The following is a 22493-nucleotide window of genomic DNA, read 5'->3' on the forward strand; positions in this document are numbered from 1 at the left end:
AGTTGGGTTGTGCCTCAGAAACAAAACAGAAATTACAAAGAAGTGTGTGAAATGAATCAGTGTGTTAACATCTGAACTAATATGGAGTAAGTGTTTATGCTGCTTGTTTCAGAACTGCATATTCAGCATGAGATACAGGTCCCAGTTGCCTAAATAACATAGTTCCAGCGTTTTCTTTAGGTCTGAGACAGTTTGAATGTTCTTTTTTTTTTTTTTTTTGAGACAGAGTCTCACTCTGTTACCCAGGCTGGAGTGCAATGACACGATCTCCGGCTCACTGCAACCTCCACATCCCGGGTTCAAGCAATTCTCCTGCCTCAGCTTCCCAAGTATCTGGGATTACAGGCACCTGCTACCACGCCTGGCTAATTTTTATATTTTTAGTAGAGTCGGGGTTTCACCATGCTGGGCAGGCTGGTCTTGAACTCCTTACCTCAGGCGATCCACCCACCTCGGCCTCCCAAAGTGCTGGGATTGCGCACGGCTGAATGTTCTTCCATTCTTTATATCCCATTTAGTTTTGGGAAATTGGACGACTAGACCTAGTCGTGCTAGGGGCACTCCTATGCTTGATGTCAGAATTACTCATTTTCCCCTAGGCACTTTTTCTTTGTGAATTTATCTTTAAAGGACAGCCTCATCAGCATGGACTCATCTGGTACAATACTAGTTTGTAGAACCATAGCACTTGTATTCACTCTTACCTTCTTTTCCTGGAACCAAATCTTTTACTTGAATGTCAATAAAATGGCCCTTCTCAGCAACGGAACATTCTTGACTCCTGAGGCAGGGAAGGAAGCCAGGCACTTGTACATTTGTTTTCAAACGAACTGGTTCTTATGTTGTAAATATTTAACCATTCACCATAGTATTCCTACCAAAGTTTCCATTTGATTTTCAGTTAATTCCATTTCTCACAAGCAGATAAAGGCTCTTTCACTTTCCAGAACCCTCTTTTAAGCAAATATAGATTATATTTTTGGCTCAAGAAGGAACAAAAAATGGAATTTGGAAGGCATATTTTTTCCTTGGTTGAAGAAAGGAGGCCACGGGGAAGTAATTCCACCAAGAAAGTATAATGGGTGTTATGGTAAATCTTCATGATGGCCATGAATATTTTTATTGTTCCCTACCCTGTCTTTGCTTAAATTGCTAGAGTTGTGGCTAAAAGCAAAGCTGGGTTTTTTCTTCTCAGGTTTATAGCTTTGAGAGTCGGGAGGGAGGGACATTAAGTGTAAAAGCTACTGAAGAGGGCCAGGTGATCTTATCTCTTTAATGAAAATGACTGCAGACAGCTTCCTTCCAACTTTTGAGTTATCTGGGTTCCTGAGTGTCCATTTCTCACTGGTGTTTGCTCTTAGGATGAAACTTTAGGAATGCATTAGGCAAAAGATTATGATTTACAGCATACCACTGTTTACTGTTTTAGTAATATATTTGTTTTAGGGAAAAGACCTCCTTATAACACATTTCATGCTTTTGATTTAAGTTGTGACTCCTCTTTCAAGTTTGGGATATTTTGCTTCCAGGAGATGCATTTTGGTCTTTTCCTTTTCTTTTCTCTTCCTTTCTTCCTTCTTCCCTATAACAGGTATCTCCTGCTGCACCAAGTCTGTGGGCAACAATGCAAAAAGTCAACCAAAATCCAAAAGTCTAAGCTGATCCCTTAGTATACCAGTTTTAAGAATGTCTGGTGTCACTTGGACTACAAATGACTTTTAAAGTCAAAGACCATAAGCATGAGTCAAATTGGAAACATTACCTTGTAGAGCCAGTCTGTCTGCCTGGTCACTTAACAGTTTATAAAACTTGACTCCTAGCTAGAAAGTTAATTGCCAGAGGTTCCAAGGAAAGCACTGGACTACCACTCGGAATCCTCCATTTACTACATAGGCCAAATGATCTGGCTCTTTTCAAGGAGTTAGCATGAACATTCTACATTTTTCTTATCCAATATGCACAAATATTTCTTTGAAGAAAGATGACATTTTAAAGGTTCTTATTCAATTAAAACTTCCTAAAGCACTTTTTTTCCCCATTAACTGACAAACATGATACAGAACTATTTTCTTTCAAGATTATTATGCCTCTAAATCTTTTTCTGTCTCTTTCCTATTTAGCTTTGGATTTGCACAAAACACCCAAGCATTTTTCAGCAGTGTGAGCTGAGAGTGTGGAATTGAATGAACACGCCTGGGATTTGAAATGAGAGATCTGGGCGGGGGAAGGGGAGAAAGATATTCCTTGCATACTCATACGCCATAACTGAGGATTCTACATTTTCTTTCTAAAGCATACAGTGGAGATGGTTTATTTCTGAGAGAAATTCTATTTTAGTTTTGTTTTGCTTTTAACCACTATCATGTTTGTATTTGTCATTCTTGTACATGGATTTTAAATTTAGGTTATTTTAATTTTTCTAACCAAATATTTTTCAAATATCCGCTTATGTTGGAGAGAAAAGGACATTCCAAAAGAGTTACCTATAGTGTTTTTAACACATAATTAAAATGATCATAAAACCTTCACATGTGCTTTTTATTTCTCATTAAATGCCAGAGGGAAAGGCAATTGCAGGCGTGTAGTATTCCGACATTTCAGCGTGCTGCACTCCTGTCCTTCCGTCGTCTGGGGCCACATCTGTGATCACTGTCTTGTGCTTGCCAATAGAGGTTTTCTTCTGGATGCTGTGTCTGCTCTTGGTCTTGTGGCTTTAACACCGAAGAGCTGTTGTCTACAAAAGACAGTACATTAGAGCTCCAGAGTTCACTCAGCTGCCTGCTTTGCTCCCGTGGTGACTTCATTCTTGGGAAGTTTTTAGGTTTCCTGGGAGATGAAGCATGAGCAACATTTGCTCCAGCCTGAGTAATTTCAGAAGGCCTTGAGTCCTGTTTTGTTATTCGGGTTTCCAAGGGTGGGTGAGGGGCATGAGAATTCCCAGCAGTTACCACTACACGTGAATACTGGTATCTGGCGACTCTCTGTTACGTTTTTAAAAAGAGTGGTTATCGTGGTGTTTTTAAAGTGGGACTGTGCCTCAGAAGCCAAACAGAAATTATAAAGAGGTGTCTGAAATGAATCAATGTGTTAACATCTGTACTAATATGAGTGTATATGTTGCATATTCCAGAGCTGCCTCAAATTCTTTTAGGATTTAATAATATTGAACATTGGAAAGATTGAATTAAAGCCAGGTAAGACTTGCTATGTTTACAAAATTGTTTGATGTGGTCTACAATGGATTTTAGTATTTTTCTGAGTTAAAAAGAATAATAGCATATGCTTCATAATTTTTGCCTTTATGACCTATTGTTTCTTCATTAACCTCAGTACAATGATATTATATTATTATTGGAATTGAAAAGGTTCCTGTGTAAGCCTTGCTTGGTAATTCAAGTACCCTTGAATTGTATAAGGAGAGCGCAGATATTTTAATGCCAGACTCCTAGTTTATGCAGTACTTTTGGGCTGTAGTTCCCATGTTAAATGAGATGATCAGCCAAATCTTTGCTTTGCCAGGAACCAAAATCATTTCCAAACTACAATAGCAGTATGGTTACAGTTTCAGCTTCATCAGCCCCAAAGTAAATTCTAATAGGTGCTATTGAACATAGTTTAAAATATCCTGGTGAGAAACTATAGGCCTTAAATATTCTGTTTTCAAATTTTTTACCTAACCCCAAATAGCTAGCTTCTTAGTTTTATACAGCTATGCCAAAATAAAATACAACAGAACATTCTTCTTTTGGGGATATGAAACAAATCTTTTCATTTTCAACAGTGATAACCAATCTTCTGTCTCCCTCCCTCTCCCTCAACCCCTCACTTCCCTCCCTCTCCTTCTCCCTCTTTAGTCCCTCCTCCCACCCAGCCTCTCCCTCTGTCTGTCTTTTCTTGCATTACCTAAAGCCCTCATTGCTCACATCTCATCAAGATAAAGTCAAGATTTACACACAATATAGGAAGTGTTTCTCTCCAGCCTCATACCTGACCACAGCATCCTTCCTTTCCTACTTCACACTCCAATCGCCGAGAACCATGTCCAGTTCCTGAGCATACCATACTTTCTGCCTCTTCCTATGTGTTACTTCTCTAACTAGAAGGCTTATCCTCCCCTCTCTAAAGGCTGGCAAATATTCTCATGACATCATGTCTTTGTCTACCCCTATAACTAACCATATTGTATTTAAACTTCTCTCTTCCTTTTTAGACTCTAAGCAACTTGTGAGCAAGGACTGTTTCCATCTCGCTCACTATTATACTTAGAGCCTAGCACAGTGCCTGGCATACAGTAGCTATACAGCACATATTTGTTGAAGGCTCAATTGAGTCTAGTTGTCACTCAGTTTGCTTTAAACATAGAGAACTCTCCTTAACTTTTCGTTTATTGTTGGAGGGAAGAGAGCAGAGGGCAGAATGTGCTCTGTGGTGTTTTATAACTCTGCAGGAGGCAGCTCTTTATAGCATTATATAGATTTAAAATTGAAGCACAAAATGGTTGTGAAGAGGAAGCACGTACGTAGGGCTGCTTCATCAGGCGAACCCTAATTCATGTAAAATTCAACGCTGGGAAATCAAAAGAAAGGAAAATCACTCTCTCCAAGTGGTAGAAATGATAGTGGGATTTTTTTTATCTCTAGGTGGAGATAGTTTTAAAATTTGCCTCCAGTCTGCTACATTAATTCTATTTGCCTGAATATTAATTGTGGGTATTTAAATAAGACAAGTTGAGTTTCACAAATGCTGCTTGCTGCTACATTTCCACCAAAAAGGCAGCTTAAAACTGTTCTTTCTTAAACTATTCCTTCTTAAATACATACCCATTGTCTATCTCAAACACTGCTTACCATTCATCCCCAAGTTGTACAAATAAGAAAAATTTCAGATAACCATGATTGCAGTTATGAAATTGCTGGGATTATGAAGCATAATCTTAGTTTAACATGCATGGGTAGAATTACCTGAAGTAGCTGCCATTTATTCAGAGTCAATGCCAGGCATTTTATTTGCATCATCTCTGATCATCTCAACAACACTGATAGGTGGGTGGTATTGTCCCTCTTTACAGAGGAAGGAATTGAGGCTCAGAGAGGTGAAACACCTTGGCCAAGATCACCTAGTAAGTGGCAAATCTAGGATATGAAACTTGGTCTCTTGGTCCAAAAGCTTCCTTTCTTTATAGCATATTTCTCTTCCTCAATTAAAGCACTATTGTTTTCTCAGGCATTGGATGTTTGTACAGGTCATTTTAGAATACTTTTCTTTGTGTATACCATGATGACATCATGGCTAATGGGCTACCAACAACAGCCTTCTTGAATTCACGCCCACAGACAGCATTGACAGAACTTTAGGATTTTAATCCAAACTGTTGGGAGTCTTCCTATGTCCAAATGATTAGGAATTGCCAAACAGATGAGTCTACAATTGTGTTTCCCAGATTCTACAGCCATATTACAGTATATAGATCGTGTGTGGCTATGTCAAATTATTTGCTTCTGTTAGGATCACAGCACTTTGGGGGATGCGAGTAGGGGCTTTTTCTCTGAATATTATTCTCAGATTTTCTCCCAACTTCCAGACTCAGGAGGTTAACACGTGAACTTCTGGAGAGCAGCCTGCAGGGGGAGATCCTAGGGTTCACGTAAAGCTTACAAAATAGCCTAAAACTTGTGTCCCAAGTCAGACCCTTCAGAACTGTGGTTTTATTTCTGGAATAACATACAACCCAACAGCCATGTCTTTAGAGACTTGTGGCTGAATTAGTTCTGATATTTTAAGAAAATTAAGTTTCAGGTCTTGTAGATATGCCAGTAAGATGTCCACTAGGTAGAGATTCTACCCAATATTGTGTTCTCTATTGTTTATATTCTGTACATGATGGTGGTGACAAGGATTTAGGGAGAATGCCTATTTTAAGCTCTCTGGAAGTCAACTGCCAAGAAAGTCAGCAACCTGTCTTCCTAAAATTATCCACAAAGCCTATGATTATCATAGGTTTAAAGGCATACATATTCCTCTGTTTTGCAAAAGTCTTTTTTTTTTTTTTTAGAAATGGGGTCTTGCTATGTTGCCCAGAATGGAAGGTAGTGGCTATTCATAGGCATGATCATCATGCACTGCAGCCTTGAACTCCTGGTCTCAAATGATCCTCCTGCCTCAGCCTCCCCAGTAGCTGGGACTACGGGTGTGTGCCACCATGTCCAGCCCAAAAGTCTTACTACTAACTTTTATTCACGAAGGTAATTCAAAAGATAGGGCATTGATTCCAACTTATAGAAGCTATAAATATTAGCCCCAAGTTAGTTCCTATAATTCAACATTGGCAACCTCCCCTTCGATGAGAATGTCCTTTCAGGTGCTTCTTCTTCCTTTCTCTATCCTGGATTACCATGTAGGCCTTTTGAAAATAGACACCTACTTTATGACAGTTTGGACAGACTAACAGGTCTGTATGAAAAGGCATTGAAAATATAGGCATGATTTCCCCAAAAGAAACCTAGAAATGGCTTTAAAAAGTTTTAGAAAGTGAGATATAAAAAAATTATAGAGTTAACATTGATGTTAGGAAAGTAGTCCAGGAAGGGATCTTAGATCTTACGTTAGAATGATATTTGGCTACTTCTTTCACTATTAGCAAATTAATTTATATAGATCACTAGATTTTTCCCTGTTTCTGAAATCCTTGGTTCACTGGGGAAATAGCCTTAAATTCAAAGAGAGCAAGGTGTATCATTATTTGTCTCTGTGGTTCAGTGAGCAGGTTGGATCTCTCATGTGTTTCTTGATATGAGGATGGGATCAACCAAGAGGAAATGTGAACAATGCTTAGTGAACCTTAAACAAATTAATGCTTTTCCAGGAAGTGAATGCAGTGGGGCACAGACGTTGGGATTACTCCTAACCTGCAGTGATACTTGTCCTTTACTTCACTCAACAAATACTTATTGTGTCTTTGTGCCAGGGATAAAACATGCCAAAATCCCTGCCTTAGTTGAGATTATATACAGGGTTAGGTATAGATAGTAAATGTTAAACATAACTATTTTATAAAAAGTAATTTACATGAATCTATAACTACTTTATAAAGAATATTTGAAGGGCATTTAAAAATTATAAGTATCAAAGTAAAGAAATAATATTCAAAGATTAGTGCATGGGAAAAAATGGAGAAGAGGATCAGGAGTTCTAGGGTAGGAAAAAGGGTGACAGGTTGAATTTTTTTTTTTTGATACAGGGTCCCGCTTTGTCACCCAGCCTGGAATGCAGTGGTGCGATCTTGACTCACCGCAGCTTGGATCTCCTGGGCTCAAGCGATTCTCCCGTCTCAGCCTCCCGAATAGCTGGGACTACAGGTGTGTGCCACCATTACCCAGCTAAGTTTTTTCTGTATTTTTTATAGAGATGGGGTTTTGCCATGTTGCCCAGGCTGGTCTCTAACTCCTGAGCTCAAGGGATCTGCCCACCTTGGCCTCCAAAATTGCTGGGATTACAGATGTGAACCACCACGCCCAGCTGGTTGTAATTTTAAATAAGGAAGTGAGGGTAAGCCTCAATGCCAAAGCAACATTTGAAGGAGATGAAGATGGTAGCTATGGTGACACCTAGTAAAGGGAATTGTCTGTGCAAAGACTCTAAGGCCAAGACCATGCCTGGTCTGTTTGAAAAAGAGCAAGAAGGCCACTGTGGCTGGGGCAGAGTGAGTGAGGGAGGATAGTACCAGATCAGGTCAAAGAGGTAACGGGTATGTGGGGAGGAGTGGATCATATGGGGACTTGCAGCCCGTTGTAAGGACTTGCTTTTATTCTGGTGAAATGATGAAAGGTTGCAGGGTTTTGAGCAGAGAATCAACATACTTTGGCTTATATTTTAGAATAATCACTCTGGCTATGAAGACTGGAGGTGAGCAGATAAGGGCAAGGCAAGGATTCCAGTGAGGAGGCTGTGGCACGGATCCAGGACAGAGATGCTGGTGACTTGGACCTGGATCATAGCGAGGGAGATGGGAGATGTGGTTGGATTCTGTATTTATTTTGAAGGTCGAAACAACAGTATCTACTGGAATGCTCAATGTGGGGTGAGAGAAAGAGAGAAGTCAAGCTTTTAGTGTTGAGTACCAGGTGGCTGGAACTGCCATCAACTGAGATGGAAAAGATAAGAAGTGAAACAGGCAAGAAAGGTTTTAAACATTGTAAATTGTGTATAGCTACTAAAATTGGGTGCAGATGTTAATGAGGCAGATTGGTGTATGAATCTGGTATTTAGGAGTGGAAACTGGGCTGGATATGTGAATTTTGGAGTCTTCAGCCTATATATGAACCATGAAATTTCCATGGGAAGTTGCTAATTCCTGAAAGTCCCGTCTCAAGAAGTTGCAGCCAATGACACAGGACTCAGTCTAGTCCTCTGGCCAAGTTGATCTTGACTTTTATTGTCTTTTAACTACAGTAGCACTGCACCAATCATAACCAGCTACACTTGTTAGTTTCATTGTTTTGTATTTACTGGTTCACCATATTTTCATACCACGTACAGCTTGAACTAGGGGTCATCTACTAAAATCCTCTCATTTTACAGATAAAGAGGCTAGGCTCAGAGGAGTTAAATGACTTGCCCAAAATTACACGAAATGGTTACAGCGGGACCAGGAGTGCCTACCTTTCAGCTCTTTCCTCTTCCTTACACCAGCTAGAGCACTTGCAGCTTCATTAGATGGAGCAGGAAAGGTGATAACAGAGAGGTAAAGTCAGAGGTCATTTCTGCCACCAATTGTTTCCTTCAAAGCAAAACTCCAGGTAGTAGAGCTCTCTTATGCATTAACTTTGGTGGCACTTGCATCCTGTACAGTAAAAAGCCACAGGCGAAGTCTAGCAGACCTGCCCTTTGAAGGGAGAGTCGGAGAGAGCCTTCTGAGTTGCTCAGGCCAGGTTTTGGATAAATCAGGGGGTGACCATTGGATTATAGGAAGCTGGGACATGGGGAAATCATTTTTTTTCCATTCAATCAGTCACAAAAAAGTGATTCTTTTCCTGTTAGACTAGGAAACTTAAGGAAGAAGGATAAGAAAGAGAATGTAGGCGACTCTGCCACGAGCTTTTGATGATTCTTAATGATAAATTGGAGAAGCCTGGAAAGAGCTAAAGGAATATAGAATTGAACATACTTTTTATTTGACTGTGGATTACAGTCAGAGATATATTCCACTTGAATTTACCCCAAGTGCCAGCACTTTCTTAGCTATTGTGAATTATGTGGATGGGCTACTGAGTTCCAATGGGTCATTATGTATAATTTGTAAACTGCTGTTCCACTTAGAGAGAATTAACTCATTGAACAAATATTCATGGGTTGCAGGCATGGGAATTGTAGGATGAATAAGATAGATGAGGTATTTGTTTTCATAGAATTTACAGTCTTATAGGGGTATGCAGACAACAAACAAATAAGCAAAGAAGGTAAGTTCAGACAGTAATAAGTGCTATGAAGAAAATGGAACGGGGTCTTGGGATAGAGAGAGATTGAGTGAGGTGCTTTAATAGGAGGGTCAGAGAAAGACAGGTGACTTTTTTTTAATCTTTTTTTTTTTTTTTTTTTTTGAGATGGAGTCTTGCTCTGTTGCACCCAGGCTGGAGTGTAGTGGTGCAATCTTGGCTCACTGAAACCTCTACCTCTGGGTTCAAGTAATTATCCTGCCTCAGTCTCCTAAGTAGCTGAGATTACAGGTGCCTGCCACCACGCCCAGCTAATTTTTTGTATTTTTTTTTAGTAGAGATGGGGTTTCACCATATTGGCCAGGCTGGTCTTGAACTCCCAACCTCAGGTGATCCACCCGCCTCAGCCTCCCAAAGTGCTGGGATTACAGACATGAGCCACCACACCTGGCCGCAAGGTGACTTTTGAACTGAAACCTAAACCATAGGAAAGAACCAGCCACATGGAGATGTGGGCTATTCCAGGCAGAGAGAAAAATCCCAAGAGCAAGGGCCTTGATGTGGGAACAATCTTAGCAGTATGACAGAAGCACAGCGAGCAGGGTTGGGACCACATCACGTAGGGCCTCATAGGCCATAGTAAGAATTGTATTCTAAGTATAGCACGAGGCTACTGGAGCATTTTAAGCAAAGGAAAAATTATTATCAACTTTATTTCTTGAAATCACACTGAGATTCCTTTTTTTGAGGAAATAGAGTCAATGAGGGAAAAAGTCGAAGCAGAGAGGGAGACCAGTTATGAAATTATTACACCAATCTAAGGAGATGGTGGTAGCTTAGGGTGGTAGCAGTGAAGATAGCTGAAGTGATGAAATTTGGGACTGATCGGATCAACTGACTTGCAGATGATTGAATAAAAGGATTAAGGGAAGAAACAATGGAGGAGACACTGGGTTTTATCTGAATAATTGGGATGGTAATGGGATCATGAGTCAAGATGGGGAAAACTGGAGAATAGCAAGTTTGTAGAGTAGAGGTTGAGGGGTTGGGAACAGCAGAATTCAGAGTTCTATTTTAGATTTATTATGTTGGATAGACCAATCTGACATCCGGGCAGGTAATTGTACAAAAGAGTTTGGAATCTGAGGGAGAGAGAGAGCCAGAGAGAGAAAGTTGAGAATTACCAACTTTGTATAAATAATATTTAAGTTCAAAGGACTGGAATCCCTCATCCTAGGAAAGAATGTAGATAGAGATATGAAGACCAAGCCCTGGGACATATCAACCTCATGAGGAGATGGACCCAGCAAAGGCTACTTAAAAGAAACAGTGAGTTGGGGACAAGGAGAGAAACTCAGTAGGGTGTGGAGGTGTGGAAGTCAAGAAAAGAAAGTGTTTAAGGAGGCAATAGTGAGCTGTGATGAATGCTGCTGAGGGGTCCATGACATAAACACAAATCATTGACTTGGCAAGAGGTGGCTTTGACAGAGCAATTACTGGGGATGGAGGGGAAGAAGGCTGAACTGCAGTGGGTTGAAGGGAGAATGGGAAATGACAAAATGAAGACAAGTACAGACAATTTATGTTTGGAGTTTCTATCACCATTTTAGCTAGTGATACGGTAATGAGGCAGGACTACAAGCAGTATTGGTAGAAAAACTCCCAATTATTAGGCTTTAAAAAGGCGAATTAAAACTAATACATATTCCTAGGAAATTTGATCTGCTGTGTCTACTTGGGGGGATTAAGTTTTCATGGAGACACCTTGATGAGTATCCATGTTGCCTTTACCAATCTTGAATACTAATTTCTTGGATCTGTTTCCTGCAGCTCTACCCCTCAAATAGAACAAAAAGCAATAATAAGAAAAACCCAGTATTTATAGAGCACATAGTGTGCAGTTTAAAGGTGTTTTTGCTCATTTTATCCTCACAATTCCTCAGGAGGTAGGAGCTGTTATAATCCCTTTTTGATAAGGTCACACGACTATTCTAAACTCCAGGTGATCAATTGACAATTGAAATCTTGCAGCCGAGCGCGGTGGCTCATGCCTGTAATCCCAGCACTTTGGAAGGCTGAGGCGGGGGAATCTCTTGAGGCCAGGAGTTTGAGACCATCCTGGCTAACTTGGTGAGTCTCTATGTGGTGGCACACATCCGTAGTCCCAGCTACTCAGGAGGCTGAGGCATGAGAATCGCTTGAATCTGGGAAGTGGAGGTTGCAGTGGAGGGACACTGCACTCCAGCCTGGGGGACAGAGTAAGACTCAGTCTCAAAAAAAAAAAAAAAAAAAAAGAAAAAGAAAAAGGAAAAGAAATCTTGTTAACTGGCCGGGCGTGGTGGCTCACGCCTGTAATCCCAGCCAAGGCAGGCGGATCACGAGGTCGGGAGATCGAGACCATTCTGACTAACACGGTGAAAGCCCGTCTCTATTAAAAATACAAAAAATTAGCCGGGTGTGGTGGCGGGCGCCTGTAAGTCCCAGCTATGCGGGAGGCTGAGGCAGCAGAATGGCGTGAACCCGGGAGGCGGAGCTTGCAGTGAGCCGAGATTGCGCCACCGCACTCCAGCCTGGGTGGCAGAGCGAGACTCCGTCTCAAAAAAAAAAAAAAAAAAAAAAGAAAAGAAATTCTGCAACACACCTTGTACTTGAGTTGGGTGGTGCCTTTGTTTCAGCAAAAAATCTTCATTTTCTCTCTCCTTCTCACCCAAATACCCAATAGTATGTTTAAATAATAGCATTGGGATTGGAACCCAGGCAGTCTGGGAGCTCCAGGCCCCTAGTCTCAACCAATATGCTATCCTTTAATACCAGGCAAATGGAAGGGAGACTCCGGAAAGGAAAAGCAGATGACATTTTATCAAATCAGTATTGGTATAGAATGACATAGATGTTATAATGCATTGAGCTAGAATGGAAAATTTTATCCTGGAGAACCCTTCTTAATGGTGTTTTTAAATCTGTGTGCCAGTAGAGCCCATACTAATGGAGTGCTAGTCCTCAATATTCTCCCCTAACACCCATTCTCACTCTGCTAATAAACTGTCCCTCAAAATCAAAATGAAAGTGTCACGTATGTACACTTTCCTTTTGGAAAGCATTTTGGTATTTTTCTACCTGACAGCTAGGAAAACAGATAATTGATTGATTTGTTGCCTTTATTGTTTTTAAGTGCCTCTTACTTCGTGCATAGAATTTGGGGCATTTCCTGAGGAGTAATAAGCCCTCAGGAGGAGACCTTATCCTCCAAGGTATAGAAAGTCCTAGCAGACGTTGGTGGCCAGGAAGTGCCCTAGACTGGAATTATTTTTGTTGTTCTAATCTGAAAATGACAACATAGAACACAGCCAACAGCATGCAGCATTTTATTATGGTGATGCAGCTTTAATTGGTATGTAGAGGGCATGCCTGTGAAATTAGTCCTTAGTGTATTGGCCAATCAGATCACTTTCAACGTTTCCCAATGTTTAGTTTCATCTTATAATTAAGTAATAATGATCATTTCCTGGCAGCTAATGACTAGCTAGAGGAGTTAGAAGCCTCATTAGGTTTATAATTTATCAAACTCTAAGCTTTTCATCAGTAGTGTTGCAAAAAGAGAAAGCATCTTCAAATTCCAAAATGATTCAAAACAATCTCTAACCGTATTTCATATATGTATTCACTTGTTCTTTGAAGGGTGACTTTATTTTTAAACTTTTAAAAATAACTGTATTTTATTATATAAGCAGGAAAAAATGTTTGTGTGACTTAGAGGAAGAAGGAAAGAGATGTATTGAACTCTGTTAGCACATACACACACTCTAAAAGCAGAATTGATAGACCGTGTTTCCTTTAAGAATCTTTTTGTGACAATTCCACACCCTTTCCTGAAGCTGGCTTGACTATCCATTAATTCCAGCAATAGCATCATTGTATTTACTCCACAGATATTTATTGAGCACCTACTGTGTGTTGGGCATTATGCTGACGATACTGCAGGGGCCAGAAGAGAACGGGGGGAGATGGGAACAAAACCTCCTGTCTTTATTAAGCTGATATTATCATCTTAAAGTTTCTGTCTTCAAAATTACCCTGGAAGACTGCAATTAGATATGTTCAAAGAGGCCAAGCTAAAGGTAGAGGAAGACCCTCACTGAACCATGTGGACACCTTGCCTCTGACTGTCTCCTCATCCATACGGCCATTACATAGTAGCTCCAGCTTCTGCTAACTCAAGGGTCACTCACTGATCAACCATATTTGGGGGATTACAATCCTCCTTTTGGTGAGAGAAAGTGTAAATCTCTTCTCCTAGTTTGAGACCTGCCCTCCTCTTCGTTTTGGGACCTGACATGAGCTGGTCATAAAAGAAAAAACCAGAACCAAAAAACAGTGTCTTCTAATTCCAACTCGTTTCCCCTTGAGTTCCTAATGGTTGGGGTATTTATTAAATAAGTACAGCCTGATGGAGGGACAGCCAGACCTACCATTCAGGTTGTAGAATTCTAGAAATGTGGAACTCAGGGACTCTTCCAAAGAAATTCTGTCCTGCCTAAATCAGGTCTGAAAGGCCTCTGGAGAAATGGAACAACAGCCTATGTGTACTCACTCTCTTGGTCTTTCATTGGAGTCACTCCTGGGAATCCCTCAAAGATATTTTCTGTCCACACACTCATGAGTTCCTTGAAGCAGAGTAATCTTAGGTGCTCAGAGAAACTCCGTAGTTCCTTCACCATAGGAGCCACTTGAGATGTGAGGTCCTCTGGATCATCAGGGTTGGCAAAAGCACGCAGCAGAACTCCAGGGAAACTGCTGGCATTTGGTTTGTGCTGTCAGATCAATCCTAGGATTTCAACATCAGAAATACCCATTATTGTCCTCTCTGAAATCTGTGGGCATTAGCCCTGGTGCCTCATGTAAAAGTTAGCCTTCTGGTTTCCAAACCAATTCTCTTCGTGGTAGACTCTTCATGACCAAGAATTGGGACTTCCCAGCTCTCATGTTACCAAGTCCAGTTCTCCAAGATGGTTCCTGGGAATGCTTCTTCACGTCTGAGTACCTTGTCCTGAGCATGTTTCATAAATGGGTAAAATGTGTGATTGATGTCTCTTTTATTTTATTGAAAGCTTGTTTTCTTCTGTAGCAGTTCTGAAATTTCAAGATGTTCTTCATTACTTTGTTTTAATTGCCATGTGACAAATATTTCAAGAAACACCCAGCTATTTTAAAATTTTTGACAGACTTCATGATGGAAAGACATACACACAGCCCTACTTGTTTAATAAATACTCCAACCATTAGGAACTCTAAGGGAAAGAAGTTGGTAATTATTTAATGAACCTTCTGTGTAGTCACTTTCACATAAAGTATAGCTAAGGACTCAGAAGCAGCCTTTTACTTCAGCCCTGAAATTACTACTATTAGTAATTTAAAATCACTTTTCCTAATGTGCCTAGCAGTCTCATTTACCTATACCACAGGTCCTCAAATAACATTGTTTTGTTCAACACTGTTTCACTATAAATTGATGAGGAAAAAAAATTGATTTCCAGCTGGGGTCACTATCTGTGTAGAATTTGCACTTTCTTCCCATGTCTGTGTGGGTTTTCCCCAGGGACTCTGTTTTCCCCCACATCCCAGGGATATGCATGTTAGATGAGTTGGCGTGTCTACAGAGTCCCAGTCTGAATGAGCATGGGTTTGTGTGTGAGTGCGCCCTGTAATGGGATGACATCCTGGCTAGGGTTGGTAACCACCTTTCACCCTGAGCTGCTGAGACAGGCCATGGCCAACCAAAGCACTGAACTGGAAGAAGTAGGTAAATAAATATCTTACTTGTTTTTATTAATCTTTCTTAAATGCATACATAGTTCACATTTATTTCAATGATTAATATTAGAAGTTCTTTGGTCGTTATTTAGAAGTTTGGTGATGTTTTTGTGGCCAGAAATACATCATAGGAATTTAACTCTTGTTTCTATCAATTAGCCTATGGTAGAATTGGTTTAACTAGAAATCATTTTGCTTAAAGTTGTAGTTTTTAAGAACCTACCAATGACATTAACTGAGGACTTACTGTAATTGTCCAAGAATTATAGCCTTTGAATTCATTCCTGGATGAGAGAAAAGATATTTCTATGATATATACTCCTATTTAAGAAATCAGGGGTTTTCCAAAGAAAGAAAATATCAGTGCTTCTCTGTATGAGCCCACTGTATCAAGAAAAGATGGACCCACAGAGGTTGAACCAAAACTCTTGCAGATGCAATAGGCACAGGCTCTCTGTTTCCCGTTGTTTTTCTAGGTCTAATGAAAATGTGAAGACTGAGGGCTTGGCCTCACCCTGGTAATATGATCAAGAACGGAACTGTGGTAGTAAAAATGAGAATGTTAGAAGAATCATTATATTCAGGGAAAAGAAAGGCCTCAAAAGGGAAGATTACTCTGAATAATTCATGCTCCTTTTCTCTTTTTTCCTGTGTGAAATTCAGTGTTTCCTTTATAATTTTTTGAGAAGAAGGCTATGCTCAGGATCTTTAGAAGCTGGTGGTAACTTCACAATCACTGGCTCCATCAGGCAACGAGAGACTTGCTGAAGGAGAAACAAACTGTGAAGGTAAAGAATTCTACCCAGAATGGCAACTCTGTGTGCTTTAAGAATGAATCCAAGTTTTGGAAGTTGTGGGAATGTGTTCAGTCGAAACTTTTCAATTGCTTGCACTGGGGAAACCACCCTCATCACTAGGCCTGGGGATTATGAACCAAAACCAAGGACTCCAGTCTCTGAGTCAGGGCGAGTGCCTTGGGAGGGAGGATGAAGGGAACTGGGCTCAGTGCCTCTCCTAAAATACCTTTCCCCTCCTAGAGGTCAGGTCTGGCAGGGTTTAATGACTCAATTCGTGTGCTGAGTGGCATCTTGGTAGCTCCGGGGAAGTAGTCAACACCACCCAACACAAACTGGGATTGGAGGTTAGGTGGGGTGACTATGAGCTGGACACCTAAGAGGTTATCTTCTTGGAGAGGTCAAAGAAAGCTTTTGCCAAACCTGTTAGATGAGTCAACAGATAGAGACTTCCATCTCTGCTTTCGTTCATCCTAATTTTTTAATAGCACCAAATGTGTAGAAAATCCAGAAATGAATTATCTGATGTTGTATATTTATAACAGATGTTAGATGGTTGGTTGATTAGTGTTAGCTATTTCCAATGCATGGGTTGCCTCTGACATAAGTATTGAATTAAATCAAAAATATGTTTATATATACCTACTATGTACCCAAAAAAATTAAAACTAAAAGTAAAAATATAAAATATTTTGAGTAAGCAGCATAGCAAGACCCTGTTTCAACAAAAAAAAAATCAGCCAGATGTGGTGGTGCACATCTGTAGTTCTAGCTACTCAGGAGGCGAGGCAGGAGGATCGCTTGCGCCTAGGAGTTCAAGGCTGTAGTAAGCTATGATCACACTGCTGCATTATGCCTGAGTGAAAGAGTGAGACCTCATGTCTTTACAAAAAGTTTTCTTTTTTAGTCAAAATATTCTTTCAAAAGGATCTAGTTAAAGGTTAATTTTCTGGCATACAAAGCTAGCAGACCAAATGGGTTCAAAACTTTAAATAGCATAATTCATCCAGGAAGACCATTCCTTTTTATTTTTTCCTGTGCCTTTATCTGCAAAGCTCTAAAATGGCCTTCAGGAATAAGGCAAGGTAGCTAATATTTTTCAAGCAAATTCAAGAGCAAGATAGAAATGAAATGATCCCATCTTATCTTTTCCTTCCTCCGATACCTCTGCAGTCTGACCCTAGGGAATGAGTGCTATGCGGATCAGATCAAGAGAGGTGATTTGTTTACTACTTCTGAAGACCCTAAAACTTTTGCTAACCCTAAAAGTGACCTAACCTCTTGGGAAGGGAGGGGCATTCAGTCTCGAATGACACAGACCAACCAAGAACTCCTACGGACCAGTAAGCCCTTAACCGTGTAGATACCGAAGTGAGCTTTGGGGAGAGAGAGAATCGCTATCCCCCAGACATGGTAAGGCAGTCCCCTTGAGGCAGTCACAAGTCAACTGCTCAATCTTTGGCTAGTGTCCCTCAGTAGACTAGCTCTAGTTATAAGGGGATGTTCTAAATAACCCCAATGGAACAATCCACAGCCACTTACTGAGTACCTAATAAACCCATGTATCACTCCCTGCTACCTACTGTTGAGGTAGATAGCCTCTGAAGAGCCTCTGGATTCACAAAAGCCACCCTGAAATGAATATTTCTCCAAAAAGTGCTTGGGGTTTCTTCCACATCCCCACATCCCAGCTCCCTTCCCTTTCATGCCCACAGCAAGGTCTATTGCTGCAAATTGGTGGTGAGGCAAGTTGGCTGGGAGGTGCACCTACACGGGGGAGTTCTATTGTTTTTATAACCAGTGCCAGCTCTGAGTGCGTGGTGAGTAAGAGCCTCTTCCTCTTCCCTCTGGGCTGCCCTCCTCTCCCATGCCAATCTCATTGCTGGCCTGTTGTGGATATGGTGGTAAGCAAGGGCGGCTGCCTGGCTCTGATGCTTCCCAGACTTGGGACCCAAAACTCAAGAAGACAACGAAACATGTAAGTGAGGGCTTCATGGGCCTGTGTTTCCTATTAGCCAGTATTCCTGGGTAAAGTTTTCTGGGGAGAAGGGGCAAATGTGAAGACACCACTACAGCGTTACTCTTCCTTCCCCCGTTAAGTAAATGGGAAGTTCTTACTTGGCACACAAGAATAAAATGAATGTTGACTGCCTCTTCCAGTCACCTTTGGGCTGATTTTAGGTTAGACGACGTTTTCCCTAAAGGAATCTTATTTCTGCAAACTTCTTTTTTAAAACTCAAAATAATGTCTGCTTGTTCACTTTTATGTTAGAAAGTTATAATACGAGAGTAATTATGGTTACTCTTGTAACCATAATTTTGCTTATACATTGGTTTTGCTATTTTCCTTTCTGAATGGTGTTTATTTTAGATTTTAGCTCCTCTCTTGTGTTATGTTGCTAACATTTTTGTCAGCTGCCAGATTATTACAAGCAGATAAAGGGGGAGTTTTCTTCTAAAGAGACCCCCATAGTTCACGCTCAAAGAATTTGTTTTGTATACCCTGTGAGGGGGTGAGGGAAATAATTCATTGGTGTCTTTGTGTGTGTGTCTACGTGTGTCGTTAGCTGTAATCTGCAAAGATTTCTGCATCTTTAAGCATAAAGATCGCTTTCTCATTTTGTAACATGATTTCTTTTCAAACTTGTCATGTAATTGAATCCAGCTTTGAGTGACACTTTAAAATATGCTCTCCCGCGTCAGAAGTGCTTCTTTAAGCCAGGTGCTCTTCACGCTCACCTGCTGGCGTGTTTGATTAGCAGCCAGCCACAGCCAGGTGCCAAATCCATTCTAAATATGGGAGCCTGTGCTTGAGAAGACTAGTCATACTAATTATTCAGACCTCCTCCTTGGAAGTAATGTGGCAAAATCACAGAAGCAGAAAAGCCAGAAACAGTATGAGACTTGCTATTGAGGGACCATAAAATCAGAATTTTGCCTCATAATATTGTTTTGTTCTTGGGTACATCCTTTCCAGCTATGAGCTCACCAGCCCTTGCTCTGTCTCTGAGCTGGTTGGCATCATTGCCGTTCTACAGATGGAGAATGGGAGATACAGCTGTGCAAGCCAAAATGCCCAAAAGCCGGATGATCTCACTGAAACTGGGAGCCAGCACCCCAGGTGTCTCTCTAGCTCCTTGCTGCTGGTGAATCTGCAGCTTAAAAAAGGAGAGCTGCAGGCTAAGTTGGAACCACCTAGAGTTGCCTGCAAGCAATCTGTATTTGAATTGCCTGTCAGAGGCCAGGTGAAACCAAGCAGTGGGTCAAACCAAAGGGGCTGCATGCATACATAAATGGGAAGAAGGTTAAAAGTGAGGAAATGGGGGATCGAAGTCCAGGAATGTAGGGAATATGCTGGAATATCCTTTTTATGCAGGCCATCCCTCTTTTAACTGTGGGCTGAAATATACTGGATAGTATCTGTTGTACCGAAAGTACAATGTCACACTGGTAGGAAATATTTAAAGTAAAGCCAATGTATTAATTTAAATCATTAATGCAGGAAATATTTATTGAGGCTTTCCCATGAGCCAAGTCCCATAATATTCAGCTTTGTAACTTGAGTGCCTATCATTCAGTGGATGGACAGGAAGGATGCCTTGATGAATGGATAAACACATATTGTTCATGAGATTTTAGTTTAAGGACTCTCCATCTTCTCCCTGCTCATCCTCCCTTGGGACAGCCCATTCAATCCCACAGAGACACCTGTTTCACCCCTCCCAGAACCACCCACCCACAGGAAGGAGAATTTCCTTAATGAAGGCAAGTAAACACAGGCCTGTATGCCCATAGGAAGGAAGCCTTTGTGTACTTTTACCCAGATTGAATCAGGGAAAACCATGTCAGGAAGAAGGGCACACCCTAGCCGATGCACGGAAGTAACATTTGCATGTCACAGGCTTCAACCCAGCAATCCAACACACAGGTGCGTAATCTCTGGGCCAGGCAACCAGAGCAAATTTACCTTCATGGTCTTCGGAGCTCCACCTTCCTTCATTCATCATCTCTTGAGCTTGCTTCTGAAGGTCCTAGCTTCATCTTGGACATAAGCAGCCAGGATCTAGGAAAGGCTCACCAAACACCATTATTTATTGAATGCCCTCAATGCATTGGCCTCAAACCAAATGCAGAATTAGATTACTGTCCCCGACCAGTTGGTTCACATTTTAAACAAATAAATAGGCAGGTAGAGGTGAACTAAATAGAAAGGAAGATGGAAATATACTCCAGGGAGAGGCAGGTGCTGGGGAGGGGAAACCGGTCAGAGCCTGTCATTTTTAGAGCTTAAGTAGGACAGGATCTCAAAATATTTCAGATCCAGCTCCATGTTTTTGATCAGCCAGGAAGGCAAATTTGGTTGAGAGCAGGAAAGATGAGACACACACTTCATGCCCTCAATGTTGGCTCATTCTTTCCTGATTGTTTCTATCTTTGGGCCCCTATTGTGTCTTATATGTGCTTCTGATATAGGATATGGCCAATGTACTTTGTTACAAAGTAACAAAGCAATTATTTGTTTACTCCCTATCTCTTCTAATGGATCATGAGCTCAGTGAGGGCAAGGACTCTTTGTCTTCCTCATTTCTAAATGTCTAAAGCCTGATCAATAAATGCTTATTGAATATACATATGACACCCTCAACCCCCAAAGCCATGTAACAGGGTAAGGATGACTGCGATTGGGTCTCAAATTAGAACAAGGGCCAGGATTTGAGGTGTTCAAGGAATTCAAAATAGACGTGATTGGATTTGAATGGTTGACAGCTTTCTTGAATATGCAGTATGACGCCACTGGGATTTTGAGATGATGGGATTAAGCAGGTTGGGAGGAGGCCAGTCACTGGAGGCAAAGGCTCAGGATTAGGAATGCTCTTGTGGTTCTTGGGGAATAGTGAATGGACCATAGTGGCAGGATGAGGCCAATGTGTGAAGGGACAAACAAAGTTGTTTGAAATTTAAACTTTTGGCAATGGGAAACCACTGAAGCCATTTAAGCCGAACTGTAAAGAGATAAAAGGAAAATTCAAAAGAACTGAATCTAGGTAATAGGTTAGAGCATGAGGTGCCAGGAACAAGGGCTCTATGAAGGAATGGAAGCCAATACCCATGAGTGTGTGACAAAATGCTGATCTGGGTGGGGGAGGAGGGTAGTGGGAATAAATGTTAGGATTCTGGAGTATTTGTGGGGGAGGGGAGATTTGAGATTAATGTATCATTTGTATCCAGAGTTTTCTCTCTAAATGAGGTTAAAAGAATGGGCCAGGAGCAATGGCTCATGCCTGTAATCCCAGCACTTTGGGAGGCCGAGGCGGGCAGATCACCTGAGGTAGGGAGTTCAAGACCAGCCTGACCAACATGAAGAAACCCCCATCTCTATTAGAAATACAAAAGTAGCCGGCCGTAGTGGTGCATGCCTTTAATCCCAGCTACTCGGGATTACAGTAGCTGAGGCAGGAGAATTGCTTGAACCTGGGAGATGGAGCTTGTGGTGAGCCGAAATTGCACCATTGTACTCCATCGTGCCATTTTTTGAGATGCTGTCTCAAAAAAAAAAAAAAAAAAAGAATGATGGCTAAACTCTTTATTAGGTGTTTGTTAAATGCCAGTCACTGTTCTAGGCATTTTACAAACAGTAGCTCAATTCATCCTCAGAACACCCCTTTGTAGTATTATTATTGGCCCCACTTGACAGATAAACTGAGGCACAGAGCAATTAAAGCACTTGCCCAAGGTCATACAGTTATAAGACAGAGAGACAGGATTCAGACCAGGATGTAAGTCTGCCAAGGCCCAAATATTAACCACAAATGCCTGCTTCAGCAGGTTCATGGGAAGATTTAAGGTATGATGAAAGGGGTTCTAAACAGTGATGTTTGTTATCATTTTGAAAGGAGACCAGAGAAGCATTTCCTGCATCCATTTTCCTATCATCGTTAATTGCCTACTCACACACAGTTTAAGGTTATCAGTATATAGTAAAATTTAAAATCTGTAATAGGATAATGTTTCTTATTTTGCCTTTTAAACACTGATTTTTCTCATTTAAAAATTAGTATTTGTTATAAAAATTCAAATCTTACAGAAATAACAGATATACAGTGAATATCCCATGAAATCTTAATTATCCTCCTACCCCCAAATCATTATTTACTGTTGGGTAGAAATTCCTCCAGCTCTTTTCTTTTTTTTAATCTGAGACGGAGTTTTGCTCTTGTTGCCCAGGCTGGAGCGTAATGGCACGTTCTCAGCTCACTGCAACCTCGATTTCCTGGGTTCAAGCCATTCTCCTGCCTCGGCCTCCAAAGTAGCTGGTATTACAGGCATGTGCCACCACGCCTGGCTAATTTTGTATTTTTAGTAGAGACAGGGTTTCACCATGTTGGTCAGGCTGGTCTCAAACTCCTGACCTCAGGTGATCTGCCCTCCTCGGCCTCCCAAAGTGCTGGGATTATAG

At 41.0% G+C, this 22493-nt stretch overlaps 1 protein-coding gene and 1 long non-coding RNA gene across 9 annotated transcripts in view; one reads left to right on the plus strand and one right to left on the minus strand.

Annotated features, from left to right (window-relative positions):
* SHROOM3 (shroom family member 3) overlaps positions 1 to 22493 on the plus strand; it is a 348025-nt gene that overhangs the window by 186400 nt on the left and 139132 nt on the right. The window lies entirely within an intron of this gene.
* LOC105377290 (uncharacterized) overlaps positions 1 to 22493 on the minus strand; it is a 32582-nt gene that overhangs the window by 6533 nt on the left and 3556 nt on the right. For 3 of the 8 annotated variants that reach the window (XR_007058146.1, XR_007058147.1, XR_007058145.1), the window contains 2 exons: positions 20004 to 20099; positions 13587 to 14561 (listed from right to left, as the gene is read on the minus strand). This is a non-coding gene — a long non-coding RNA (uncharacterized LOC105377290). Of the gene's footprint in view, positions 1 to 573; positions 1613 to 2519; positions 2735 to 13586; positions 14562 to 20003; positions 20110 to 22493 lie in introns of those variants that run through there. The other 5 variants (XR_001741402.3, XR_001741404.2, XR_007058149.1 and 2 more) reach the window with 5 other exon arrangements.

The sequence above is a fragment of the Homo sapiens genome, chromosome 4, assembly GCF_000001405.40.
Source record: "Homo sapiens chromosome 4, GRCh38.p14 Primary Assembly".
Classification (NCBI taxonomy): Eukaryota; Metazoa; Chordata; class Mammalia; order Primates; family Hominidae; genus Homo; species Homo sapiens.